Source organism: Homo sapiens, chromosome 6, assembly GCF_000001405.40.
Source record: "Homo sapiens chromosome 6, GRCh38.p14 Primary Assembly".
In the NCBI taxonomy this organism is placed as follows: domain Eukaryota; kingdom Metazoa; phylum Chordata; class Mammalia; order Primates; family Hominidae; genus Homo; species Homo sapiens.
Genome location: NC_000006.12, coordinates 36,128,948 through 36,155,941, shown reverse-complemented (window position 1 = coordinate 36,155,941; position 26,994 = coordinate 36,128,948). Strand labels below are relative to the sequence as shown.

The window sequence follows — 26,994 nt, the reverse complement described above, 5'->3', positions numbered from 1 at the left end:
AGGTTTCAGGGTTTTACTTTTAGCACATTAAATATGGCATTCCATTGTCTTTTGGCCTTCATTATTTCTGATGAGAAGTTAGCTGATTTTTCTACTCATGGTTCCCTGTATATAGTATATGCTGTTTTTCTTGGTCATTTTCCAGATTTTCTGTTTTTTAGTAGGTTGATTATGATATGTTCAAGAGTAGTTTTCTTTGTGTTAAGTTGTGTTGAGCTTCTTGGATCTGTAAGCTTATATTTATCGTCAAACTTGTGAAATTTTTGGCCATTATTTCTCCAAATAATTTACTTCTCCAAATATTTTTTCTGTCCCATTGTTTATTTCTTCTCCTTCTAGGAAATGTCCTATAAGTTACTGAAGCTTTGATTATCTTTTCAAATATTTTCATCTCTGTTCCTCAGATTATATAAATTTTATTGATTTTTATTCAACTTCACCTTTTCTTATTAAGCCTGTCTAGTGAGAGTTTCACTTCAGATATCATGCTTTTTAATTTTAGAATTGCCATTTGGTTCTTTTTTGTAGTTTCTAGTTCTTTGTTGAAATTGCCCATCTGTTCATTCATTATGACTGTGTTTTCAAAGTCCTTGAAAACATATATTATATTTGCTCTGAAATCTTTGACTACTAATTCCAATAGATGAAGTGTTTCAGGATTGGTTTTCATTGACTGCTTTTCTTTTCTTTTTTTCTTTTTTTTTTGTGACAGAGTCTCACTCTGTCACCCAGACTGGAGTGCAGTGGCGCCATCTTGGCTCACTGCAGCCTCTGCCTCCCCGGTTCAAGTGATTCTCCTGCCTCAGCCTCCTGAGTAGCTGGAATTACAGGCACGCACCACCTCGCCCAGATAATTTTTGTATTTTTAGTAGACATGGGGTTTCACCATGTTGGTCAGGATGGTCTCGATCTCTTGACCTTGTGATCTGCCCGACTTAGCCTGCCAAAATGCTGGGATTACAGGCGTGAGCCACTGCACCTGGCCAACTGCTTTTCATTGACTATGGATCACATTTCCCTGCTTGTTTTCAAGTTTCAAGTTTTAAAAAAATTGTATTATTCTAGACATTATAGATAATACAATATAGAGAATCTGGATTCTGTTACCTTCCTCTGAAGAGCATTTATTTTCAGGCAGCTAACTTGGCAGGCATAAATTTCCAAATTCTGTGTCCCCTGAGATGAGTGGCAGCTAAACTTTCTGCTCAGTTCTTTCAACTTCCTGTCTTTCACCTTCTGCTTGTTTCTTGCTGGGCTCCTTAAATTATCCCCTATCCATGCACATCAGGAGTCAGCCAAGGATTTGATCAGATTTTATATGCACTTTTAAGAAGCCTCTGTGGTTTCTTCATTTCTTAGATTTTCTTTCTAAATCCCATTCTCTGACTTGTCAAACCAGTAAGACTAGCCACTTTCTGGCCATCCTGTGCTACCTGTTCTGAAGAGTACCCTCAGGCAAAAGCCTTGTGATCACAAATCTTCCCCGCTGCACTTCCTTCTTCTGGTGGTTTACTCCCCTCTGGTTTCTGCCTGCTTTTGGTCTCTCCAGTGCCTTCCAATAGTTGGGTTTTTTATTATTTCTATAATGATCATAATACAATACAAGCGACTCCACCACTACTAGAAGCAGAACCTCTGACTTTTGATTTAAAACACTCAAGGGAAGATGTTGACTTGTCTGAAATCAAATACAAACATCCAAGGTAGAGATGTGCATTTGCTAGTCATCAGCATATGGATGGTATGGAAAGCCAGGAGAGTAGAAGAGACCATTTAGAGGGGAGCATGAACAGAAAAGGGCAACCAAGGAGAGAGCCATGGGCACTCCACCATTAGGAGATGCATCAGAGGAGTTGCTGGTGGAAGAGACTGAAAAGAAAAAACTGCAGTAAGAGGAAAACTTTGGGGGAATTAAGAAAAAAAAACTCTTAGAGATTCAGTTTCTTTGTTTGTTAAATTGGAATAATAATTGCTGTGTAATTAGTGCAAAGATTAGATGTGATATATTTAAAGTACCCAGAAGAGTGCACCTAGAAAACATGCAACAAAAGGATAGCTACACTACCCATGATTTATATCTGTTATATTTTATTTCCTTATTTCATGCAAATAGAATGAAGATCCCCTACATGTCTTACCAGGGGATAGGTGGGTGTTAGGATGGAAAAGGGAGAGAGGATCAACAAGGAAGAAGCCAGATGAGAGCGGGAAGGGCCTCCAGGGTGCCCATCCAAAGTGAACTCTGGATTGGTCAGCATCAAAATGGGAGAAGTGAAACATCTTTCCACCACCCCCAGGACTCGGTGTGTTTGCATGACTGATGAGTTGACTCCCTCTGGCTGTGAGCAGTACCTCCAGGTCCTTTCAGGGAAATGGGCTCAATTCACACAAAAGAAAGTAAAGCCTATAAATCAAGTCAAAAGATAGAGCTCTTTAAAAATTTATTTACTGGCCAGGCACGGTGGCTCACGCCTGTAATCCCAGCACTTTGGGAGGCCAAGGTGGGCAGATCACTTGAGGTCAGGAGTTCAAGACCAGCCTGGCCAATGTGGTGAAACCCTGTCTCTACTAAAATACAAAAATTAGCCGGGCATGGTGGCGGGCATCTGTAATCCCAGCTACTCGGGGGGCTTAGGCAGGAGAATCACTTGAACCTGGGAGGTGGAGGTTGCGGTAAGCCGAGATTGTATCACTATACTCCAGCCTAGGCAACATAGTGAGACCCTGTCTAAAAAAAAAAAAAAAAATTATTTACTAGCCAGGCACAGTGGCTCATGCCTGTAATGCCAGCACTTTGAGAGGCCAAGGCAGGTGGATCACTTGAAATCAGGAGTTCAAGACCAGCCTGGCCAACATGGTGAAACCCCCTCTGCACTAAAAATACAGAATTAGCTGCACATGGTGGTGGGCGCCTATAATCCCAGCTACTTGGGAAGCTGAGGCAGGAGAATTACTTGAACCACAGAGGCAGAACCCACACCACAGTAACTTGGTTGAAATGACTAAATTCATAGACAGAAACCATAGTTTTAAGTCTTTGGAATTAACAACAACAAAAAAGATAAAAAGCAAAACTGTCTCAAGAAGATACAGAACGTCTAAACAGGCCTGTAACAAGGAGTATGATTTAGTCATTTATAAACTTCCCCAGAAGAAAAGCCCAGACCCAGAGGTATCTGTCAGTATCTTTTCCTAGAACATTCCTACTTCCCCAAAGGCAGAGGTTGCAGTGAGCTGAGATTGTACCACTGTACTCCAGCCTGGGGTTCAAGCAATTCAAGACTCCATCTCAAAAAATTTATTTACTATTTGTATTAGTCCATTTTCACACTGCTGATGAAGACATACCCGAGACTGGGTAATTTATAAAGAGAAAGAGGTTTAATGGACTCACAATTCCATGTGGCTGAGGAGGCCTCACAATCATGGAAGAAGGCAAAAGGCACGCCTTACATGGTGGCAGGCAAGAGAGAGTGAGAGCCAAGCAAAAGGGGAAACCTCTTATCAAACCATGAAATCCCGTGAGACTTATTCATTACCTCCAGAATCATGGGGGAACCTCCCCTGTGATTCAGTTCTCTCCCACCGGGACCCTCCCACAACACATGGGAATTATGGGAGCTACAATTCAAGATGAGATTTGGGTGGGGACACAGCCAACCCATATCACTATTATTACTTATTTTTATTATGTTATTTATTGGATTATAACCAAGGTATAAAATAAACACCTGTTGGTCCATAGACGTAAATTATTGAGAAAAATAGCCCATACAGAAATATTGCAAATAATTTATCTAGATATTCCCTTCTCAAAGAAGTGGAGTACACTTCCCCTCTTTAAGTATGGGCTGTGCTTAGTGACTTATTTCCAAATATTATAGTGTGGGAAGAAGGGGGAGAAAATCACTTCACAGTGGAGAAGTCCGGCAAACACCACCTTAGCCAGGTGATCAAAGTTAACATCAGCAGTGCTAAGTCATATTGATAGGATATAGCCTTGATATGATGTGATGAGAAGGTTACTTTACTACTGTAGTCTTCCTTCCAAAAACACATTACCTGAGTCCAATCATGAGAAAAACATTAAACGAGTCCCAGCTGAAGGACATTTTACAAAATCCCTGACCAGTACTCCTCAAAACCACCAAGGTCATCGGAAACAAGAAAAATTTGAGAAACTGACATGGCCAAGAGGAGTTTAAGGACACACCATGACTAAATGAATATGGCATCCTAGATGGGATCCTGGAACAGAAAAAGAACATTAGGTAAAACTTTAGGAAATAAGTTTTACTGTAGAACTTTGGTAAAAACAAAGGAAACTGAATAAAGTATGAACTTTACTTAATAATAATGTATCAGGCCAGGCGCAGTGGCTCACGCCTTAATCCCAGCACTTTGGGAGGCCAAAGTGTGTGGATCACCTGAGGTCAGGAGTTCGAGACCAGCCTGACCAATACGCTGAAACCCCGTCTCTGCTAAAAATACAAAAATTAGCCAGGCGTGCTGGTGTGGGCCTGTAATCCCAGCTACTCGGGAGGCTGAGGCAGGAGAATCACTTGAACCCGGGAGGCAGAGGTTGCAATGAGCTGAGATCACGCCACTGCACCCCAGCCTGGGTGGCAGAGTGAGACTCTGTCTCAAGAAAAATAAATAAATAATAATATATCAATATTGGTTCATTAGTTGTGAAAAAAGTGCTGTACTAAGATATTAATAAGAAGGAAGCTGGGTGCAGCATATATGGAAATTCTCTGTGCTCTTCTTGCACCTATTTTATAAATCTAAAATAAAGAAGTTGTTCATTGTATAAGTTTTTGTTTGTTTTTTAAAGGATGAGGTCTTGCTGTGTTGCCCAGGCTGGTTTTGAACTCTTGAGCTCAAGTGATCCTTCTGCTTCAGCTTCCCAAGTAGTTGGGAATACACGCATGCCCCACTGTACCCTTAAAATAAAAAGTGTGTGTGTGTGTGTGTGTGTGTGTGTGTGTGTGTGTGTGTGTGTATAAAATCTTAATACTGTACACAGAGAAGTTCTTTTGAGATCATTTTATTCCTGGTTCTGAAAGAGGCAGCTGAAGTAATGGCTTCACTGTAAAAAAAAAAGGATAGGAACAGGCAGGGCTGGTGTGGACAAAGGCAAGCAGACTCCTAGGCAGGCAGAGATGGGTGCCAATTAATTGGGCAGAAACAATGAAAAGGTCTCAGAGAAGCAGAGAAACCCATATCCCATCCCACCTATTTTTAAAAATTGATGCCTAGGCCGAACACATCAGAAGTAATCAGTGGGCAACACTGGTTTAAAAAAAGAAAGGAGGGAAGGAAGGGAGAGGGGTGAGGGGGGAAAAAGAGAGGGAGAGAATTTCCACTTACAAAAATTACTCTTATTTAAAACAGCTTTTTGGAATGTTAGCAAGATTTCACAATGCAGACATCTCAGTTTGAGACAGCTTGATTGATTTCCTGATTTCCAGGAAAACAGAGCTATCATCTTGTTCCTGCTTCGTTGTTTACTGGCATAAATATGCAGTTCTTACAAAATGTGAAATGGCTGCTGAAGAAGTAAAATTTAATTCTTTTTGATATATTGTTCCAAATCCCCGCAAAAATGAAGAAACCAGTGGAGAAACTTTATTCCTCCCTTCCCAAAAATGAATGTGAAGAATTGTGGAAGATTTTGTTCCTTTGGGAGTTTGTACATGAACTAAAGGCTCTGAACCAGTCTGTTGGGCCCCAGAGTCAGATGGGAATAAGCACGGTTCACCTCCATACTTGCGTGTTATACCTACACAGCCCAACCAAAAACTGGAGGGCAGCAGCCGTGTTTTGTAGGTCCCATATTCCCAAGAGTATTAACATCATCCACAAGTGTTTTTGAGTACCCACTGATAGAACCACAACAATAGTAAAAATAGCTAATATTTACTGTGCACTCTGTATGCACTTTACCCTCACTAGTTCTATGAGCTGAGCTCTTCCAAGATTCCATCTTGGAGAAGGAAAATAAGGCTCAGAGGAGGAAAATACCCTGCTCCAAAATGCATGGTGTGACAAGCAGGCTTACATGCCCAGTTATTTGGTTAAACAGTCTAGATGTTGCTGCAAAGAAATTTTGTAGATGGAATTAGCATTTACAATCAGTTGGTTGTAGCAGATTACCCTCCCTACTGAGGGTGGGCCTCAACCAATCAGGAAAAGGCCTTAAGAGCAAAGTTGAGGTTTCTAGAAGGAATTCTGACTCAAGACTACAACATAGAGATCTTGCCTGAGTTTCCAGCCTGCCTGGCCTGCTCTATGAATTTCAGATTCAAGATTGCAACATCAACTCTTACCTGAATTGCTAGCCAGCTGGTCTGTCCTACAAACTTCAGACTTGCTAATCCCCAGCAATCTTGTCAGCCAATTCCTAAAAATAAATAAGGATAGATAGATATATAGATAGATAGATAATAGATAGATGATAGATACAGATATAGATGACAGATGATAGATACAGATATAGATAGATGATAGATATAGATTATAGATATACATGATATGTTGTGGGAAGTCAGGGACCCCAAACAGGGACCGGCTGAAACCATGGCAGAAGAACGTGGATTGTGAAGATTTTATGGACATTTATTAGTTCCCCAAATTAATACTTTTGTAATTTCTTATGCCTGTCTTTACTGCAGTCTCTAAACATAAATTGTAAAGATTTCATGGACACTTATCACTTCCCCAGTCAATACCCTTGTGATTTCCTATGCCTGTCTTTACTTTAGTCTCTTAATCCTGTCAGCCGAGGAGGATGTATGTCTCCTCAGGACTATGTGATAATTGCATTAACTGCACAAATTGTACAGCATGTGTGTTTGAGCAATATGAAATGTGGGCACCCTGAAAAAAGAACAGAATAACAGCAATTGTTCAGGGAATAAGAGAGATAACCTTAAACTCCGACCACCGGTGAGCCGCGCAGAACAGAGCCATATTTCTCTTCTTTCAAAAGTAAATGGGAGAAATATTGCTGAATTCTTTTTCTCAGCATGGAATATCCCTGAGAAAGAGAATGCGCACCTAGGGGTAGGTCTCTGAACTGGCCCCCACAGGGCGTACCTGTCTCTTATGGTCGAGATTGCAGAGGTGAGATAGACTCCAGTCTCCCATAGCACTCCCAGGCTTATTAGGAAGAGGAAATTCCCGCCTAATAAATTTTGGTCAGACCAGTTGATCTCAAAACCCTGTCTCCTGATAAGATGTTATCAATGACAATGGTGCCCGAAACTTTATTAGCAATTTTAATTTCGCCTCCATCTTGTGGTCCTGTGATCTCGCCCTGCCTCCACTTGCCTTGTGATATTCTATTACCCTGTTAAGTACCTGATTTCTGTCACCCAAACCTATTCGCACACTCCCTCCCCTTTTGAAAGTCCCTAATAAAAACTTGCTGGTTTTTGTGGCTTGTGGGGCATCACGGATCCTACCAACATGTGCTGTCTCCACCGGATGCCCAGCTTTAAAGTTTCTCTCTTTTGTACTCTGTCCCTTTATTTCTCAAGCCAGCCGATGCTTAGGAAAATAGAAAAGAACCTACGTGATTTTTGGGGCAGGTCCCCCAAAAATGATAGATACAGATACAGATAGATGATATATATAGATGATATAGATATAGGTGGATATAGATAGATGATAGAGATTTTTGCAAGTTCTGCATATATCCTGTTGGTTCTGTTTCTCTGGAGAACCCTGACTAATACACATGGCTAATAAGTGGCAAAGCCAGGATGCAACCCCGGGTCTTTTTGAATGCAAAACTGAGGCTCTTAACTCCACACTCAGCAGACCTTGCCCGAAAGGCTACTGGGGTTGTAATACAAGCAAGAGCTGCTGTAACCCAGCTGTGTTCCTACTGTGGGAACTAACACAGCCAGGCGGGGTATGGTACCTGGTGCTGTAAGCAAGAGGGGGCTATTTTTGGCTTTTGAGCAAGGGGATGAAATGTCTCAGCAGCATTAAGGGAGAAGGATCTGGCAGCAGAACAGATAAGAAAAGGAAGAGCCTAGAGGGAGGAAATCATTGTGTATTATTAATCTTATAATAGAACAGGTGCAAAGGGGCCTAGAGTGGCCAACACAGAATAGCTGGGAGGAGCCTTATCACAGAGGGGCCCCGAGATGTGGGATGAACAGGGAAACAAGGCAGAGGCAGGGAGGGGCCAGCAAGGTGGCCCTGCTAAATGGCCAAGGGATAGAGGGCATCGTGGGCCAGAGTGGGGGAGTCTGATGGGAGAGCTGGTCTAGGGAGGTTAGTTTAGGAAGGTTAAGTGGGAAGAGATGTGGTGGCCCAGTGGGAGGATTCCACGGAAAGCCTCCGGAGTCAGATCCAGGCTCTAGAGAGAGGACCAGGCTGGAGGGCCAGTACGGCTGGGAAGAAAGGGAAGCCACAGGCTAAGGACTTTGCTCTGTGAGCTAAGTCAAAGGCAGGAGGAAGCTGGCCCAGTGACCAGACTGGGGAGATAGAGCTGGAAGGCACTGGGGGGGTGGGAGACAGTCACACCACTGAGGAAGAGGGGCTCCCTGTAGAAGGGGGTGGCAGGCATGGTGGAGAGGCCTGGGACCCAGGACAGCAAGATTTGTTGATCAGAGACTGCTGTAGAACATGACAGAGTCCTTGTGGAAGAAGGGTAGATGGTGAAGGCAGGTATCAGGGTGTTTGCTAGGGAGTCGTGGTGAGAAAACAGAGGTGACAAACACAGACTCCTCTTTGAAGACAGTTTGTCAAGAAGGTAAAGAACCCAGGTGGGAATAAGGTAGTAGACCCACTGAGGAGGGATTTAACATGGACACAAGGTGAGTGGGAAAAACTGCTACTGAGAAGGAGGAAGTGGAGATGTCAGGAAGATGGGGTAATCGAGGAGGGAAGAGGATGTGGTAGAGAAAATAATAAAAATAACAGTTAATGCTTGGCAAGCACTTCCTTTGTGCCAGGTACTGTTCTGAGTACATTCCTTATCTTTATTTCTTTAGTGTTGCTGTCCTCATTTTACAGATGAAGAAACTGAGGCCCCAGATCACAGGGCTGGTGAGAAGAACGTGATATCTCCAGAGCTAACACTTAACTACTATAGTGTACCACACAAGGAGAGAGCAGCATTAGAGAGGGGTGCCACTTCCTCTGATGGAAGATAAAAAAGAAAGATTGCCAGCCTGGGCAACATAGTGAGACCCTGTCTCTACAAAAAATAAAAATAAAAAAATTAGCTAGGTGTGGTGGCATGTGCCTGTAGTCCTAGCTACTTGGGAGGCTGAGGTGGGAGGATTGCTTGAGCCCAAGAGTTTGAGGTTGCAGTGGGCTATGATTGTGCCACTGCACTCCAGCCTGGGCAACAGAGCGAGACCCTGTGTCTAAAAAAAGAAACAAATAAGATAAAAGGAAAGGCCGAACTAAACTCAGATTTCTAAAGGCAATGCCCTATCCTGCCGGGCTGGAGGAAATCCAACTGCAGCCTTTACTGTGGTTCTTCCTGGGAACTTTACAAAACTTCTGCCATCTTACGGACCCCACAATCTGGAGAAAGCCCCCGTGCATATGAGTCTGTATTGAAACCACTGAGATGCTGTGCCAGTTAAGAATGTATGAGCCATACATACAAGAAACCTGCCTGATAGCGGCTTAAGCTAAAAAGTGATTATTTAGTTATTTCACACAGCAAGAGGTCTAGAGGCAGGCAGTCCTCAGAGTGGTTTCATAGTTCCCTGATGTATCCAAGCATTTAGGAACTTTCCATCCTTCCATTCCATCGTCCTCAGTGTATGGGCCTTTTACCCTAGGCTTGCTACCTCATAGTCACACCATGGCTGCCAGAGCTGCAGAGCTCACAAAACCATCTTCAGGGCAGGTAGCAGGTGCAGACCACCTGTATCTTCTTCCCAGACTTCTCCCAAGTTCTCTTGGGCAGGACTGAGTCCTAAATCGATCCCTAGCAAAGGGAAAATCAGCACATTTGGTTTAGGGCTTTCATGGGTCACCTTCTGGAGCTGGGGGAAAGGCCACCTTCCCAAGCAAGCTGCATCTAGAATAAAATGTGAGTTCTTTAAGGAAGATGGGAGAATGGCTGTTGGGTGGGTAACCAACACGTCTGTCTCAGAAGACCACTGACCCAGTCCACAGGGCTCTTTGGGGTCCATGGTCTGCTGCCCCAGGCCACACTCCGGACACAGAAATTTCAGCCAAAACCAGGAGCCCTGGTCTTAGGGTCCAGCCTTCCCGGGCACACCCAGCAGCTCCTTCCTGGGCTTTGCCAGGGTGTTGTGGGGAGCTGGCACCGTCCCAAATGAATATGGGGACTCATGGGCTTCAAACTCCTTCTGGTCAGGAGAAACCTCCTATCTAAGCCACAGTGCTTCCCAACCACACTTCCCTCTCTCATCCCCCACCTTGTCCCATCCCAGGGTCCTGGCCAAATATTCTCAATAGTGAGACCTTTGGGAACACAGAGAGGAATGTATTGTGGCAGCTCCTTCTCTTGGCCAGTTAACACAAACTTGTCCCAAGGTGTGGCTACCTTTGTGCCTATGGTGGCCGGGGGCTCAGGGGCAGTAACACAGGGAGCAAAAAACACAAATTCATCTCCATAGTGCCCGTGCCACACTGGCAGCAGGAAGAATGGTGCAGTGGTAAATTGGAGACCTGAGCCCTCGCCCTACTCTGGGCCTAAGTGTCTTCATCAGTAAAATTGTTTAGAGGGACCACAGTAGGGCAGGGATGGAGGAGTTCCACCCATTCTGCAAACTAGATATAGAGGCCTCCACCAATTCCCTAACACAGGGTTCCCCAACCCCCAGGCAGGGGGCCGATACCTGTCTGTGGCCTGTTAGGAACGAGCTGCATAGCTGGAGGTGAGCCGCAGGTGAGTATTACAGCCTGAGCTCTGCCTCCTGCCAGATCAGTGGCGGCACAAGATTCTCATAGGAGCACGAACCCTATTGTGAACTGCACATGCAAGGGATCCAGGTTGCACGTTCCTTATGAGAATCTAATGCCTGATGATCTGAAGTGGAACAGTTTCACCCAAAACCATTCCCCACCCAAAACCTTTCCATCCATGGAAAAGTTGTCTTCCACAAAACCAGTCCCTGGAGCTAAAAACGTTGGGGAGTGCTGCCCTAGCAAAATGCCCCAGTCAGGTCCATTTCTACCCAGATGGTGAGGTTGGGCGGTCCAGAGGAGCGGGCCCTGATGAGTGTGTGGGCGTCCAGGTGCAGTGCTGGAAGTTTCCAGCCTGGCTCCATGATCATAGAGGGTGGGGCTGGGGGGTTTGTTAGGAATTGACAGAGGATACCTAAAGCCTCATTTCAGTAGCTAGAACAGCCTCATTCCAATAGCTCATAACTGGGGTCCACAAACTATAGAATTCAGGGGTCTGTGCACTTGGATTGGAATAGAATACAACTTTATTTTCAGTCATTTCTATTTCCTTGGTTATGAACAAAGGTAGCAAAGTGCAGTTGTATCAGCAGTGCCAATAGAAATTACAGAGTTTTTCATATCCCTTTACAGTTTGCCACAGGTATCTATCTTAAAATATTGTTTACACTCATCTCTCTTCAGTTTACCATTGTTTAATAGGCCTACCCTCGATCTTTTTATTCAATATGTTAATAAAGAAACCTATACACATAGTATCACGTTATACATTTTAAAAATATTTTGACAACTGTATATAAATATAACTAGCTTACTTTGTAATCCTACATATTTTATGTGTATGAAAATATTATTCTGAAATTAGCCAGGCATGGTGGTGCATGCCTATAGTCCCAGCTACTTGGGAGGCTGAGGTGGGAGGATCACCTGAACCCAGGGAGGTCGAGGCTACAGTGAGCTGTGATTGCACCACTGCACTCCAGCCTGGGTAATGGAGTGAGACCCCATCTCAAAAGAAAAGAAAAGAAAATATGATTTTGAGAAGCGATCCATGGCACAAAAAATGGCCAAGAGCCCCTGACTGAGAGGGGCCCTGTTGACACTCACATGCCACCCGCCCAGAGTGAGGGCAGCTGCCCAGCTGAGCAGGGACCCCGCAGGAGGAACCAGAGCAGGAGAATCCCTGGCACCACCCTTGCTCCAGTACACACCCATGGGTGCTCAATGAAGAAGTGAGGACAACTTGCTGCCATCTTCAGTTTGATGGAATGGCCTTAGGCCTCTGCTGCCGATTGTGAAATCATCGGCCTCTTACCTAAAAGCTCAGGAGGATTTAGGGGGAATGCAGATAGAGCACATGAGTTCACTGTGTAATGAAGGAAGGGGAGCCTCCCAGCATTAGATCTTAGGGAATTGTTCAAATTTAAGGAAGCAAAAGCCAAGAGTTGGGAGGAGAGGCAGGGAGAGATTCCTCCCTCCTCAGCTGTAGCTATAGCATTGCTTGGGGCCATGGAAAAACAGTTTTCCACACCCTAGCAGACAGCAAAAGCTATTTCAATGTGCCAAGTGAAAGTTGAGCCATGCCCTCATCCAAACTAGCCCCCAGCCTCACGCAGGCAGCTCCGGGCACCCGTGCACACTGGGTTCACCCTTACGGAGCTGTTCCTCCATCAGGCAGCTCTGGGCACTGGTGCACACTGGGCTTGCCCTTACGGGGGCTATTCCTCCATTTCTGTCTCCCCTTGTGCTGCCCCTCACTGGGGGCAGCACCACCCCAATCCACGCCAGGCAAGCCCTGCCCTGGGACACCGCTGCTGTCTGTTTTCATGGATGACTCAGGCCCCAGCAAAGATACTCTTTGTTCCTCAAAAGAGGGAATGGAGGGTACACTTGCTCTTAGGAAATGTCCCCCACCTTGCAGTCTGGCTTCCTGATCTCTCTCTGTTAAGATCTTTTAAGCCACCCCATCAGCCACAGAACGAAGCGCATCCACCAAGAATACCTGAGCCCACATCTCCCCCTCCCTCGCCCCGCCAGCTCCTCTGCCCCCCACAGCAGGAGAATGGACTTGTTTCCTATTACACAGGCCATGTGCCCACTGGGCAAGACCCAAACCCGTGGAACCCCCACTCCCTCTACTCCCCACCCCCTCCACCCCCCACCTTGCACTGCTGAGCACCTCCACCGCCTTTTGAAGAAACTTCACAGATTTGAGAAAACTCTGTGGGAGGGGCTGAGGTTTAATTCCGGAGTGGGGATGGCCTAGGAGGACACCAGAGGATGAAGCGGGGGGTGGGGTCTGGGAGTCTGAAATAATAGAGATTTTCAGGAGAGCAGCTCAAAGGTACAGCCCAGGGCCGCCCACTTCTGCTTCCTGCTGGGCTCTCTGCCACCTTCCATATGACATTGGCCTGGTCGGGGCAAAGAAGTGACCGACAGGCCCCTGGGACATCTTTCACTCATTATTCATTCACGCACAGGTATTTGCTCACAGTGGGCAATGGGAAGGGGAGGCCAAACCACACACTAAATGCTGCCCACAGAGGGCCTGCAGCCCAGGGGGGATGATGGAGAACAGCTGCCTGGAGGGAGGCCTAAGGTAGAGCCTTGAAGGCCAAGGAGAATGGAGAGGAGAATGGAGGGCCTTCCACGCACGGGCACTAAAAGAAGGCCAAGCCTACTTGGGGAGAGGCAATATCGGGACCTGTGCACTGGGCTGCACTGGGCAAAAAAGGCTATGTGTGTCATGCTGTTGGGAGAAAATGGGTCCTGCGGTTAAGTACATCTGGGAAGTTCTGGATTAAATGAGGAACGGATCTCTTTACTGCAGGACTTGTCAAGACCTTTAACCTGTGAATGCAGAATGAACCTTACGGTGGATCCCAGGACTGGTGTCCCACACTGACATAAGGACTAGCTAGGGGAGGCAGTGGGAGCTGATGAGATTAGAGAGAACACAAGGGGTTTTGAATGCCAGGCCAAGAAGGAAGGCTAGACTTTTTCCTTGGGGCAGTGAGAATTCTCAGGAGGCTTAGAGGGATGTAGACTCAGGGAACCTGGGGCAGTTTTAGTAACCAGCGAGGCCAGGGCTGTGGCAAGACTAGCCAGTCCCAGTCAAGGACTCCCCAGCTCCTTGACAGCAGGGCCATTCTGTGGGAGAGAAAACAGAGACCATGGACACAGTCAGCAGTAAGGGTCTCAGACTGGCGTGAAGAGGGAAGGCTGGGCAACCCTTGAATCCAAGCTGGGTACAGTGCTCAAGCCTACTTGGGTTCCAATCTGACTCCACCACTTCCTAGCTGTGGGTGTCTGACCCAATGTCTCTGTGTCCTCAGGGTATTTGTTTTTTTTGTTTTTTTGAGATGGAGTCTCACTCTGTCACCCAGGCTGGAGTGCAGTGGTGTGATCTCAGCTCACTGCAACCTCCACCTCCCAGGTTCAAGCAATTCTGCCTCAGCCTCCCGAGTAGTTTGGGATTACAGGCATGCACCACCAAGCCCAGCTAATTTTTGTATTTTTGGTAGAGATGGGGTTTCACCATGTTGGCCAGGCTGGTCTTGAACTCCTGACCTCAAGTGATCCGCCCACCTCAGCCTCCCAAGGTGCTGGGATTACAGGCGTGAGCTACTGCGACCGGCCTGTGGTTTATTTTTTAGAGCAGTTTTAGGTTGGTAGAAAGTATAGAGGTTCCCACCTACTTCCTCCCCTTCTCTCTCCTCAGTTTTCTTGATGAGTAACATCTTGCATTAGTGTGGCACAATTGTTACAATTTATGAACCAATACTGATACATTATTATTAACTGAAGTCCATAGTTTACTTGAGGGTTCACTCTGTGTTATCCAGTCCTACAGATGGTAACAAATGCACAATAGGTATCCACCATTACAGTATTATACAGAAGAGTTTCAAGGCCTTAAAAATGCTGTCTGGGCCTGCAGGGTGGCTCATGCCTATAATCCCAGCACTTTGGGAGGCCAAAGTGGGAGGATCACTTGAGTCCAGAAGTTCAAGATCAGCCTGGGCAACATAGAGAAACCCCGCCTATACAAAAAAGAAAAAAAATGTTTTAATTAGCCACCTGCAGTCCTGGTGCACCTGGGTGGCACAGACCTGTAGTCCCAGCTACTTAGGAGGCTGAGGTGGGAGGATGGCTTGAGCCCAGGAGGCTGAGGTTGCAGTAAGATGTAATTGTGCCACTGAACTCCAGCCCGGGTGACAGAGCCAGACCCTGTCTCAAACAAACAAACAAAAAAAAGCTTTCTGAGCCTCAGTTTTAACACCTGTAAGATGAGTGTGAAACTCCATCTGAAGCCCCCCAGTCTCCTCCTATAGGTTTTTGATTTAGGCCTCCCAACAAATCAAGTATGACTGAAATCCACTAAATGTCTCGAACTATGGTCTGATATCCATCAGAATCACTAGGCTTGGGTCAGGGCGAGAGGTCCTCATTCAAATGCACATTCTAAGGTCTCAACTGCAGACCTGCTGAGTCACAAGCCCTGGGGTGGGGCCCAGGAATCTGCATTTTAACAAGTCCCCTGGTGCACAAGGAAATTTGAGACCCACTGTGCCCGACAGCTTGTGCACATGGAAATTTGTTCTGCCAAAGTTTCTCAGATAAAAACAGAGAGGTTCTAGCCACTGTCAGGTCAAAGCTCTGGAGAGCTGTGCCATCTCCCAAAGGGAGCAGAACGGTTTGCCATCAAGCCAGGCAAGAGCCCATTTCTGCCTGTGCAGCTCGCAGTCTCCGAGCCTGCTGTTGTTTCATATCTTGATTGCTTATCACTCACCCAAAATAACCTGAATGCAATCGCACCAGCTGCAGCTCTCTCTGCAACTCCCTTAATTTAGCAGCCAAACACATTGGGTTCCTTCACAGAGCACAAGGCCTCAGCACGGGGCCCAGGAAGGGGCCCCTCCCTCCCAGCTGTCTGTAGTGAGTTGAATCATTTCCCCCTGGAATTCATGTCCACCTGGAACCTGAGAATGTGACTTTATTTGGAACTAGAGTATTTGCAGGTTTAATTAATAAGGATCAAGATAAGATCACACAGGATTAGGGTGGGCCCTAAATCCAATGACTGTTGTTAAAAGAGGAGAGAACAGAAGAGACAGAGACTGGAGTGATGCAGCAATAAGCTGGGGAATGCCACGGACTGCCCACTGCCGCCACAAGCTAAAAAGAGCCAAGGAAGGATTCTTCCCCAGAGCCTTCAAAGGGACCACAGCCCTGCCAACACCTCCATCCCAGATTTCCAGCCTCCAGAACTGTAAGGGAATCAAGTTCTGCTGTTTCAATCCACCAGGTTTGTGGTAATTCGTTAGAGCATCCCTAGGAAACCAACACAGCATCACTGCCATAGGCCCCCGGCCTGGCTCAGCGCCCACTCAGCCCCACTCTGGCGGGAAGGAAAGGGCCCCACCTGCAGGCGATTCTCCAGATGGGCAGTTTAACGTGGCCTGTTAGGATCAGAGCTAGTTTCTCCCAACCGACATCTTTGAATTCTGCATCTACTAGGCCCATTTCCCACATAAGGAGAAGGACCCTTCTGTCCTCTGCTTGAAAGGCTGTATTCCAAGAAGGGCTGAGTTTGGTAGTGACAAATACTGGTCCTTGGGCAGTGTCTGGCCGGCGGTGCCATGCAAGATGAGTCCCTACAGCTTCATGCCACTCCGGCGCCGTGAGTCCTTCCGGGCAATGGGGCTGAAGTTCACAATCTCCTTGTAGATGTGCTCTGAGAAAGGCAGCATGGTTTAAGGTGCGTAAAGAGGTGCTGTGGCGAGAAAGTCCACCCCCCTTCAGAGACAGCATGGAGAGCGAAGTCAGCTCAAGGAGAAAGAAGCACCCAGGAGACAATGCCCACCAAGAAGGAGGTGGCAGGTAGGGCTGGCAGAGGCCAGGCACAAAGATGGAGGAAGCAAGGAAGAGAGGCTGCAGGCGGAGGCGAGGAAGCCCGAGGCCCCAGCTCTTACGCTTCCATTCATCCACTGTGAGTTTCTCGTGTTCTAAGGAATCATCAAACGGCTGCTGGGCCTCCGTCTCTTCCTCAGGGTCCCGGAAGGGTTCAAAGAAGGGATGGGTGAGGGCCTGCGCGGCCGTCAGGCGCTTGTCCACGTCTAGCTCCAGCATCTTCTCCAGCAGGTCCGCAGCTGCAGGGGCAGAGCCAAGAGCCTCACACCAGGGGCTGGGAGAGCCCGCCCTCTGGGATACGCTGAGAGGCCCCTGGGGAGCGGGCTCTGAGACTCACCCTGGGGGCTGGCCCGTGGGAACAGCTGAGTGAAATCCTTCCTGGGGGTCTGTGGCAGGGACTGGATGTAGGATTTGGCCTGGAAGACAGAAAAGCATCAAACCCCTTAGGGCTCTGGCCTCAGCGTGTAGAGCAGGGATTTCAGAAAAGCCTCAGAGCAGGGCTGAAAGTTCAGGTCAGGGTCCACGGTGAGATTAAGACAAGAGTGCCTGCCAGGGTAGGAGGATGCTGTGGGAAGGTGCTGGTGAGCCTTCTTCCACAAAGGCCTGCAGCCCACTGGGCCCACGTCAGGCAAGCACACAGCCCAGGCCAGCCTAGGTCCCATTTACCACCCACCGCTTTGTCGTTCAGCTTCTGCACAAACTCCGTGCCAGGCACCCCGGTCACTTTCAGGATCTGGGTCAGCTGGTCCAGGTCTTGGTGGCAGGTTAAGGCTTAGCCTTGCTCTCCTGGTGGGTCTGAGACTGCCCTTCCTGCGACCCCACCATCACTTCACCCGGGCACCATGGCAACTGATCATCCAGGCTCCAGCCCTGCCTAACCACCTCCTGCTCTCAGGAGGAGGCTTATTCTTCAGGGCTCAGGGCTCTGGAGAGCTTTCCAACGTGCCAGGCTGAGGGGGGTCCCTACCCAACAAATGGATGTGGACTTCTCAGCCTTCATCCCAGTGACTCTTTTCTGTTTCCTCGTCTTCTCACCAAAGGCCTGCCCTGCACACACAGGTACTCAGTTAATGTGTGCCGTGCCAAAATGTATTTTCCACGTAGTGGTAGAATTTTTCATCATTTTGCTTATCTACATTTTTTTTTTTTTTTTTTTTTTGAGACAGGGTCTCACTCTGTCACTCAGGCTGGAGTGCAGTGGCACAGTCTTGGCTCACTGCAACCTCCACCTCCTGGGTTCAAGCGATTTTCCTGCCTCAGCCTCCCGAGTAGCTGGGATTACAGGCGTGAACCACACCCGGCTAATTTTTGTATTTTTTGGTAGAGATGGGGTTTGACCACGTTGGCCAGGCTGGTCTCGAACTCCTAATCTCAGGTGATCCGCCTGCCATGGCCTCCCAAAGTGCTGGGATTATAGGTGTGAGCCACCATGCCCACCCAACATTTTGTTTTTTTTTTTTTTTTTTTTGAGTTAGGGTCTCCCTCTGTCACCCAGGCTGGAGTACAGTGGCACAATCATAGCTCACTGCAGCCTCAACCTCCCAGGCTCAACCCTCCCACCTCAGCCTCTCAAGTAGCTGGGATTTTTCTTTTTCTTTTTTTTGAGACAGAGTCTTGCTCTGTCACCCAGGCTGGAGTGCAGTGGCGCGATCTCAGCTCACTGCAAGCTCCACCTCCTGGGTTCACGCCATTCTCCTGCCTCAGCCTCCTGAGTAGCTGGGACTACAGGCGCCTGCCACCACGCCTGGCTAATTTTTTGTATTTTTAGTAGATACGGGGTTTCCCCTTGTTAGCCAGGATGGTCTCGATCTCCTGACCTCATGATCTGCCCGCCTCAGCCTCCCAGAGTGCTGGGATTACAGACATGAGCCACTGCGCCAGGCCCATGTCTGGCTAATTTAAAAAACTTTTTTAGAGATGGGGTCTCCCTATGTTGCCACATCTGGTCTCAAACTCCTGGGCTCAAAGGATCCTTCCACCTCAGCCTCCCAAAGTGCTGGGATTACAGGCATGAACCACTGCGTCCAGCCTTATCTGCATTTACAAATTATTCTACAGGGAGTATGTATCACTCTCACATTAAGAAAAAAAAGACAGTTATTTAAATAAAGTGTCTGTTGAAGGAAGGAATCCCTAGATGGAGTTTGGCTTTTCCAGCAAAGGATACAATCTTTCCCCTTGAACAGAGTTTTCCCTGTCAGCATCTCTGCCATGATACAGCCCACAGACCAGATGTCCACTGCAGAGGGAGGGAGAGTGTCACCTGGACTGTCTGGGGCCCAGCAGTCAGTCAGCACCGAGTGACCAGATGGCCCCAGGACCGCCCTCTCAGGCATTGACCACTGACCTGTCTGGTTGTAGTGCATCCAGCTGAGGATCACCTCGGGGGCTCGGTACCAGCGGGTCACCACGTAGCCAGTCATCTCGGCGTCTGCATGTCGCGCCAGCCCAAAATCCAGAATCTATGGCACAGGGGATAAATAGAAAAGGAACTTGCTGAGGGGAGGAGGCTCTGGGAGCGGCTTCCAGGGGCTTCCCTGGGGGAGGGCCTATCCCGCCTCTGGGCTGAGCCTGCAGCCCACTCACCTTCAGTTCACAGTCCTCATTCACAGCCAGGTTGCCTGGCTTCAGGTCCTGGGGGGAGGACAGAGAATGCATGCTAGGCTGAGGCAGAGATGGAGCTTGTCCTAGCTCCACCACCACCCAGGGGTGTGACCTCAGCCAGGCCCCTTCCCCTTCTGGGCCTCAGTTTCTTCATGTGTAAAATGAGGGTTGGACTAGGTGTTCTCTCAGGGCCCACCCAGCTCTAAAATGTTCCTGATTCTTGAAGCCTGAAACACTCAGCTCAGGGCTCACTTTGTCTGCAGCAATTCCCCATGAAGTCCCCTGGGACACAGTGACTCTTTTGAGCAGGCCTTCCTGGGCCGTGGCTGGGTGTGAAAACTCCACATTCTGTGCTCCTGGGCAGTGTCCCCTCCCTCCAACTTTCCCACTCCTTGATTGCCAGAGAACCCCATACCCAGGGATGGGACAGGGGCCTCTGAGGACCATGGCAGAGAAAGCACTCACCCTGTGCACGACCCCAGCAGAGTGGATGTACTATGTGGGAGAGAGAGAAGGGTGAGTCCATGGCCCAGCTTCCACACCAGGCACTTCAGGCTGGCCGACCTGTAACAGTGCGCTCCCTCCAGCCTCCCCAAACCTCAGGTCTAGACAGCAAGGCGTCCCCTCTGCCAGCCTCCAAGTCCCCACCCACCTTAAGGCCTTTGAGCATCTGATACACCAGGTACTGGATCTTCTCCTCACTGAACTCCATCCCCATGATCTTCTGCAGATCCGTCTGCATGAAGGGCATCACCAGGTAGCTGGAAGGCATGAGGGGTTCTTGGAACAGTGCCGGGTCCCACCCAGCCCCAGGTCAGAGCTCAGAGGAGGGACCTCAGGGCAGAACAGGGGTCATAGAGACACCCTCCAGTGTGCAAAAACTCAACTCCACCTCAGCCAGCCAGATCACCACACGGGCCTCTGGGCTCCTGGCTCCCAGTCTCCCTGTGGCGGGCCGCCCAGCTGGCAGAGCTCGGAGTAAGCGCTGCAGTTGGAGCGCGCTCAGGAAAGCCACATGGAACTGTGTTCCCGCTCTTCAAAGGTACTCTCTCCTTGCCCTCCTCCACACCCCAGGGAAAGCCACAGCTAGGAGTTAGAAACATCTGCCAGTATTTCCTTCGGCTTCTGTCCAAATATTTGATCCCTCAGAGGGTCATGCCCAGCTGAGATGGCTCCACAAACAAACAATATGTCTACCTTTCCAAGAAGGAAACAATACAACAGTTTCCAGGAGGGTGGAAGAGGGAGATGGGGAGGCTCCTGCAGCCTCTTAGGGGATTGCACAACAGGATAAGGCCAGCAAAATGTAACTGTTACAGTAAAAGCAAAGACCAGGACAAAGACAAAAAATAATAAAAATTATAAAATAGGCCAGGGGCATACCTCCAATCCCAGTGCTTTGGGAGATGGAGGCTGGACGATCGCTTGAGGCGAAGAGTTTAAGACCAGCCTGAGCAACATAGGGACCCATCTTTCTTTCTTCCTTTCTTTTTTTCTTTGAGATGGAGTCTTGCTCTGTCGCCCAGGCTAGAGTGCAGTGGCGTGATCTTGGCTCACTGCAACCTCCACCTCCCAGGTTCAAGCGATTTTCCTGCCTCAGCTTCCCTGAGTAGCTACAACTACAGGTGCACGCCAGAACGCCCAGCTAATTTTTGTATTCTTAGTAGAGACGGGGTTTTGCCATGTTGGCCAGGCTGGTCTCGAACTCCTGACCTCAGGTGATCTGCCTGCCTCGGCTTCCCAAAGTGCTGGGATTACAGGCGTGAGCCACCATGCCCGGCCTGGACCCCACCTTTCAGAAAAAAAAAAAAAAATTAGCCAGGTGTGGTGGCATGCACCTTTAGTCTTAGCTACTCAAGAGGCTGAGGTGGGAGGATCACTTGAGGCCGGGAATTCGAGATCAGGATGAGTAACATAGTGAGACCCCATATCTATAAAAATTAAAACAAAACAAAAAGCTGGACATGGTGGCATGCATCTGTAGTCCCACCTACTTGGGGGGCTGAGGCGGGAGGATGGCTTGAGCCTAGGAGTTGGAGGCTGCAGTGAACTGTGTTTGTGCCACTGCACTCCAGTCTGGGCAACCCAGCCCTATCTCTAGAATATAATAAATTTAAAACTTTTTTAAAATGAATGTTACCTTAAACAATTATGTAATAGGTTGTGTTTTTTGTTGTTGTTGTTGTTGTTGTTTTTGAAAGGACATGCTGGAGGCATCTCCAGGAGACTCTGGATTTTGGCAGCCCTCTCCTGCCGGACCACACACCTCCCTTGGGGGCCTCTCCATGCCCAGTCCCCTCCTGTGTCTTTCCCCTCCACTCGGGCACTGGTTCTTTCATCTTGGCAACATGCTTCCTGAAGCCTCTCTGTGCTAGAACCACATTCCCTTGACTTTGCTTCTTCAACTGACCACCCCTTCTCCCTCTCTCACCACCAAACTTCTAGAAAGGGCGGTCCACACTCCTGGATCCCACTGCCTTACCTCCCAGTCCTGAGTTAACCTGGTTTCTGCTTCCCTCCTACTGCCAGACTGCTCAGCTCAAGGTCACCAGTGAACACCCGACAAACACACCATGACTCCCTTTTCTTCTGATCTAACCTTTCACCAAGTCTGAAACTCCCTCTCAATTCTTTGCTGACTCTCCTCTGCCTCCTATCAGGCCCTCTCAGCTTCTTCCATCTGCTCATCCTCTTGGATCTTCTCTTTCATGTTGATATCTGAATCAATACTATCTTACCACATTCTACAATTATCTGTTCCCGGGTGTCAGCTATAACCCATCGGTGATTATTCCAGCACAAATCCACATCCCTAGCCCAGACCTTCGTCTCCTGAGGTTCATATTTATTTGCAACTGTGATTAAACATTGGAATGTTCACAGTTTCTTTAAAAGTAAAGTGTCCAAAATGGAGTTCGTTATCTTTCCCCCAAGATCTGTTCTTCCTCTACCGTGTATTTCAAGCAGGAACCTGCCCATTCCTCCACCTCTGCCACCTCACTCAGCTACTGCACCCCAACAGATGGAACATTGTGTCGGCCCTGCCTCCCAAATGGGGCCTCAAGTCTGCTCTTGGCATCCCATCACCTCTGCTTTAGATCCCTACTTTAGATCACTAACACTGACCTCCAGGCTCTCCCCCTCTGCCTCCGAGCTGCTTCCTACTCCTTTCTTGCTGCTGCCAGTGTGCATCCCCCAAATCCCATCTGAACATATCACCTCCCGGCTCAAAGTCCCCAGGTCTTGAGGCTGCCTGTAGGGTCAGTCCAGATTCAGCTTGACCAAGCCAGCTGCTGGCCTCCACGTGCCACACTGACTTCTCCATCTTGTCCAAATAGTCCAGTCTCATTCAGACACTGCACAGGCAAAGCTATACATTTTGCAGCTAAATATTCTGGTTTTCTGCCATTCTGTCAAACACCCCCATCAGCCAGAGGCAGCCAAGGCTTCTTAATCCTTGCTTCATGCTAGAAAGAGCTCCAAGGTCCAGACTCACATCTGTGTCCCCAGGAAAGGTGAGTTGGTGCTAACCCTGTGAGGACTGGCAGATGTGTCTTCATGGTGTTAAAGCTGGGTAAAAAGCAAAGCAGCTGTGCAGACTGCCCCCTGCCAGGCAAGCACCCCACAAAGTCCTTCCTGCCTCTTCCTGCCTGCCTTTGGCTAAAAGCATCTTTCCAGAGAGAATCACACTTGACAGGCAAAGGCACAGGACTGCCAGGGAAGGAGGCTCTCCCCGCCACACCCGGAATAGAAACCCTAGACCCTCCCCCACCTTGCTCCCCAGCGGCATGTAAGGCCTGCAAATGCCCCAGAACCCAGTGCAGCCCAACTCACAAGTCATAGAAGTTGCGCAGGGAGGAGGCTGGGGTGAAGACATCCAGGAGCCCAATGACCTGGGGAAGAAGTCACCTGTGAGGGCTAGACAGACGCTACCTTCTCCTCCCACCTCCTCCTGGGCCCTGGCCATGCACAGGGCCATCCACCCTTTCCTAATACACCACCTCCAGCAGGAGGCATGTCTCCAACCTTCTTGGAAGCAGTAAAAAGGGCAGAGGCCTAGAGGAATCCCCTGGATTTGGAGGGAGTTTGCAATAAATCATGACAGAGAGTCAGGCTGGGGAGAAGGGAAGGTGGGGAGAATGATGTGTGCTCATTGCTGTCAAGTCTGGTGTCAGGGCAAGCAACACAAACCCACTCTCAACTCACCTAGGCAGCAGGAAAGCATAAGGGGAGGGTGGAAGGGAAAAAGGAGGGAACAGAGAAGGAGCTTTTCAGCCAGCAAACTCCCTGCCCCTGACCTTGGGTCTCCAGCCACATCCATCCTTGCCTGCCACAGGGCTGGTTCAGAGCCAAGGGCAAGATCACCCTGGCTGGAGGCCATAGGGGAGGGGTTTGCTGGAGAAGGATGGGCTTAAAATGTACATAACATTTTGAAATCATTCTTTGAAATGTCTGCCCTCCAATCTAGGTATCCTGCAGCAAAGCCTGGCTGCCAGGCCCTGAGCTGGGCCCCTGGTTTTCCCAGCTGCTTCTATCAGACAAGACAATCTGATGGTCATGTGCTCAGACCGGGAGCCTCGCTGCCGAGATTGAAACCCCAGCTCTGCTACTGACTAACCATCTAATCTGTGAGCCTTGCTGTGCTTTAGTTTCCTGTCTGTGACATGGGGGCAGTAGTACTCATATATCATGAGGACTAGACAAGTTAGTGTATGCAGAGCTCTTAGAACATAGGAAGTGCTCAATATGTGTATATTGCTATTGTTATCAGGGTCACGTGGACACAACGCTAACTAGGATTCTAGTCCCAGCTGGCCACAAGCTCTCAGACATGGAACCAATTACAAAGTTCCCCTGTGCCAATTTCCTCTGTAGGATAACACAGTCTGTACCTCACAAAGTGCATTCTGCCAAAAATACCCTTTGACCTCTTCCTGGAAAGTGGGCAGGGAAGGTCTCGGCACCCCCTCCTTTCAATAGTGAGGCGAGAGGCACCGTCAGGGGAGCAGGGAGGAGACTGTCCCGAGCTCTCCATACCGGGAGGCCCCGCCTGCGCCTGCCCCTGACTCCCCAGGGCAGCCCCCACCCCCTCCCCGGGGCAGCCACCACCTACGTTCTCATGCTGCATGTGCTTCAGCAGCAGCAGCTCCCGGTAGGCGCGCTTGGCGAAGATCTCGGACTGAAAGGGTCGGCTCAGCTTCTTGATGGCCACCTTCTCCCCTGACCGCTTGTCGATGGCCGAGCTGTCGGGCACAGGCCGGTCAGCAGGCGAGGCTCTCCTCCTGGGCCGTATCTCCCAGACCGCCCTGACCCCTCCCACTGGGCAGCTGGGCTGAGAGGGGACTAGGCCCACCACCTAGAATATGGGGGAGCCGCGGGACGCAGGGCAGGGAGTAGGAAGCCAGGCAGGAGCTGAGAGAGGGGCACAGCGCCAGGGGCAGCAACGTCTCATTGCGACGGGATCCACGGCAGGGCGGGAGTCTCACTCTGTCTGCAACTTGGCGAGCCACCTCCCCCTCTTGGGGCCTCGGTGTACTCGTCTGTAACAGTGAGGATCTGCCCGATGAACTCTGGGGTCTTGCAAGTGTACAGTCCTGGAGAACCAGGCCCAGTCCCAACTCAACCCCCAGAGACCTCACTCAGCCACTCGGTGAGAAAAGGGAGATGGCCGCTGGGTGGCCCCGGGGAGGGCGCTGGGCCTTGAGGTCCGCGGTCAAGGTGGCGCTGGCGAGGGGCCAGCCCAGGGCGGGCTGGGCGGAAAGGGGAGAGCCTGGCGCCCGCCCCCCGCCCCCCAGCGGCCCAGGGGTCTCACCACACGGAGCCATAGGCCCCGCTGCCGACGTGCGTCGGGGACACGTAGGTCTTGGGCAGCTCCCAGGCTGTCTTGTTGACGTCCTGCTTGTAGAAGCCCTTTTTCCGGATGAGGCTCATCCCGGGCACCCGATCTCGGCGGCCCCAGCGTGGCGGCTGCGTTCGCGGCCCAACGGGCTCCCAGCGCCCCGACCCCCGCTGCGCCCGCCCCGCGCCGCCCGCTCCTCCCCCGCGCGAGGGCGGGGGCCCCGGGCTGCTACGCTCCCACCTGCCGGCTCGCCCAGGTGCGCCGGGGCCGCCACGCCCGGGCCTGTCCAGCCCTGCGCTCCCGCGCTTCCGCCCGGCCCGACGGAGCCACTGCGGCAGGTGCGGCCCAGGCACGGGGTCGGGGCTGCCCAGCGGGACCCCGGTGCCTCCCAGCCGAGCGCGGGCCAGCGGCGGGGCTGGTGGGTCCAAGCAGGAGCGGGGAGGCAGTGCTTCCCAGTTCCCTCCAGCCCCGGTCTCCGTAGGAAGAGCTCCCTGTGACTGTGAACACACAGGAAAGCAGAACAAAACCCCACAACCTCTTCATTATGGAAAATGTCAAACATGCAGGAAAGAATTGAACAGAGTAAGCCAGCGCTTCTCACACTTCAGTGTGCTCAGGAATCCCCTGGGCATTTTATTTGATTAAAATACAGATCCTGACTCAGTAGGTTTGGGGTGGAGCCGAGATTCTGCATTTCTAGCCAGCTCCCAGGTCTGAGGCTTCTGAACCACATCTGATAGGAGGTTCTAATGAACCCCCGTGACCCCAATTCCCCAGCAACCACAACTCATAATCAATTTTATTTCATCCACATTCCTCTCCCACCATCGTTTTGAAGCAAAACCCAGGCGTCATATCATTTTATTCATAAATATTTTTGTATCTCTAAAACGTAAGGATTTTTAAAAGTACGTATCCACAATACTATATATATATATTTTTTGAGACTCTGTCGGAGTGCAGTTGCCATCTCGGCTCACTGCAACCTCCGCCTCCCGGGTTCAAGCAATTCTCTGCCTCCGCCTCCCGATTAGCTAGGATTGTAGGTGCCTGCCACCAAACCCGGCTAATTTTTGTATTTTTAATAGAGATGGGGTTTCACCATCTTGGCCAGGCTGGTCTTGAACTCCTGACCTCGTGAACCACCCGCCTCGGCCTCCGAAAGTGTTGGGATTACAGGCGTGAGCCACCGCGCCTGGCCCACAATACATTCTTAAACCTAAAATTAATAGCACTAATTCTATAATACCAAATATCCACGCAGGTTCAAATGTGCAGGATTTTTGTTTGTTTTTGACATGGAGTCTCACTCTATTGCCTAGGCTGGAGTGCAGTGGCGCCATCTCAGCTCACTGCAACCTCCGCCTCCCAGGTTCAAGCAATTCTCTTGCCTCAGCCTCCTGAGTAGCTGGGACTACAGGTGCACACCACCACTCCTAGCTAATTTTTGTATTTTTAGTAGAGACGGGGTTTCACCATGTTGGCCAGGCTGGTCTTCAACTCCTGACCTCAGGTGGTCCGCCCACCTCAGCCTCCCAAAGTGTTTGGATTACAGAAGTGAGCCACCGCACCTGGCCCAAATGTGCAGTTTTGAACACAGTTTCTGTGGACTTCCTAAGGCTCTATGAGGACAATGACTAATTGGGGCCCTTGCCACCTGTCTGGTGGCCTGTGCAGCCTGATGGAGATTCTTTGCTCAAACCACAAAGGCCTCTGAGGAGCAAGGT

At 49.4% G+C, this 26,994-nt stretch overlaps 1 protein-coding gene and 1 long non-coding RNA gene across 3 annotated transcripts in view, besides 8 other annotated features; one reads left to right on the top strand and one right to left on the bottom strand.

Annotated features, from left to right (window-relative positions):
* Positions 1-9,250, top strand: part of BRPF3-AS1 (BRPF3 antisense RNA 1) — a 50,512-nt gene extending 41,262 nt beyond the window's left edge. The window contains exon 3 of the long non-coding RNA NR_187147.1: positions 9,012-9,250. This is a non-coding gene — a long non-coding RNA (BRPF3 antisense RNA 1). The remainder of the gene's footprint in view (positions 1-9,011) is intronic.
* Positions 9,251-11,420: 2,170 nt separating this feature from the next.
* MAPK13 (mitogen-activated protein kinase 13) lies at positions 11,421-25,429 on the bottom strand. Of its 2 annotated transcripts, NM_002754.5 has the most exons (12): positions 25,241-25,429; positions 24,542-24,671; positions 23,263-23,321; positions 20,081-20,189; positions 19,894-19,923; positions 19,411-19,458; positions 19,172-19,286; positions 18,992-19,063; positions 17,498-17,577; positions 17,162-17,240; positions 16,887-17,063; positions 11,421-16,648 (listed from the first exon to the last, which is right to left on the bottom strand). In NM_002754.5, exons 1-12 carry the CDS (start codon positions 25,357-25,359, stop codon positions 16,569-16,571), a joined length of 1,098 nt encoding a protein of 365 aa, NP_002745.1. In that variant the 5' UTR covers positions 25,360-25,429; the 3' UTR covers positions 11,421-16,568. The 2 variants fall into 2 exon arrangements, 1 of the variants encoding a protein (NP_002745.1); NR_072996.2 differs by lacking the exons at positions 17,498-17,577; positions 18,992-19,063.
* Positions 16,748-17,248: an enhancer, noted in NCBI's record as "H3K4me1 hESC enhancer chr6:36106471-36106971 (GRCh37/hg19 assembly coordinates)". NCBI's record gives its function as "activates a minimal SCP1, AML or CMV promoter by ChIP-STARR-seq in primed H9 embryonic stem cells {active_cell/tissue: H9 hESC(primed)}" and the evidence as "EXISTENCE:reporter gene assay evidence [ECO:0000049][PMID:30033119]".
* Positions 23,704-23,953: an enhancer, noted in NCBI's record as "active region_24420". NCBI's record gives its function as "activates an Ori minimal core promoter by ATAC-STARR-seq in GM12878 lymphoblastoid cells {active_cell/tissue: GM12878}" and the evidence as "EXISTENCE:reporter gene assay evidence [ECO:0000049][PMID:35858748]".
* Positions 24,424-24,533: a silencer, noted in NCBI's record as "silent region_17109". NCBI's record gives its function as "represses an Ori minimal core promoter by ATAC-STARR-seq in GM12878 lymphoblastoid cells {active_cell/tissue: GM12878}" and the evidence as "EXISTENCE:reporter gene assay evidence [ECO:0000049][PMID:35858748]".
* Positions 24,664-24,783: an enhancer, noted in NCBI's record as "active region_24419". NCBI's record gives its function as "activates an Ori minimal core promoter by ATAC-STARR-seq in GM12878 lymphoblastoid cells {active_cell/tissue: GM12878}" and the evidence as "EXISTENCE:reporter gene assay evidence [ECO:0000049][PMID:35858748]".
* Positions 24,664-25,278: a biological region, named in NCBI's record as "H3K27ac-H3K4me1 hESC enhancer GRCh37_chr6:36098441-36099044".
* Positions 24,675-25,278: an enhancer, noted in NCBI's record as "H3K27ac-H3K4me1 hESC enhancer chr6:36098441-36099044 (GRCh37/hg19 assembly coordinates)". NCBI's record gives its function as "activates a minimal SCP1, AML or CMV promoter by ChIP-STARR-seq in naive H9 embryonic stem cells {active_cell/tissue: H9 hESC(naive)}" and the evidence as "EXISTENCE:reporter gene assay evidence [ECO:0000049][PMID:30033119]".
* Positions 25,174-25,243: a silencer, noted in NCBI's record as "silent region_17108". NCBI's record gives its function as "represses an Ori minimal core promoter by ATAC-STARR-seq in GM12878 lymphoblastoid cells {active_cell/tissue: GM12878}" and the evidence as "EXISTENCE:reporter gene assay evidence [ECO:0000049][PMID:35858748]".
* Positions 25,284-25,533: a silencer, noted in NCBI's record as "silent region_17107". NCBI's record gives its function as "represses an Ori minimal core promoter by ATAC-STARR-seq in GM12878 lymphoblastoid cells {active_cell/tissue: GM12878}" and the evidence as "EXISTENCE:reporter gene assay evidence [ECO:0000049][PMID:35858748]".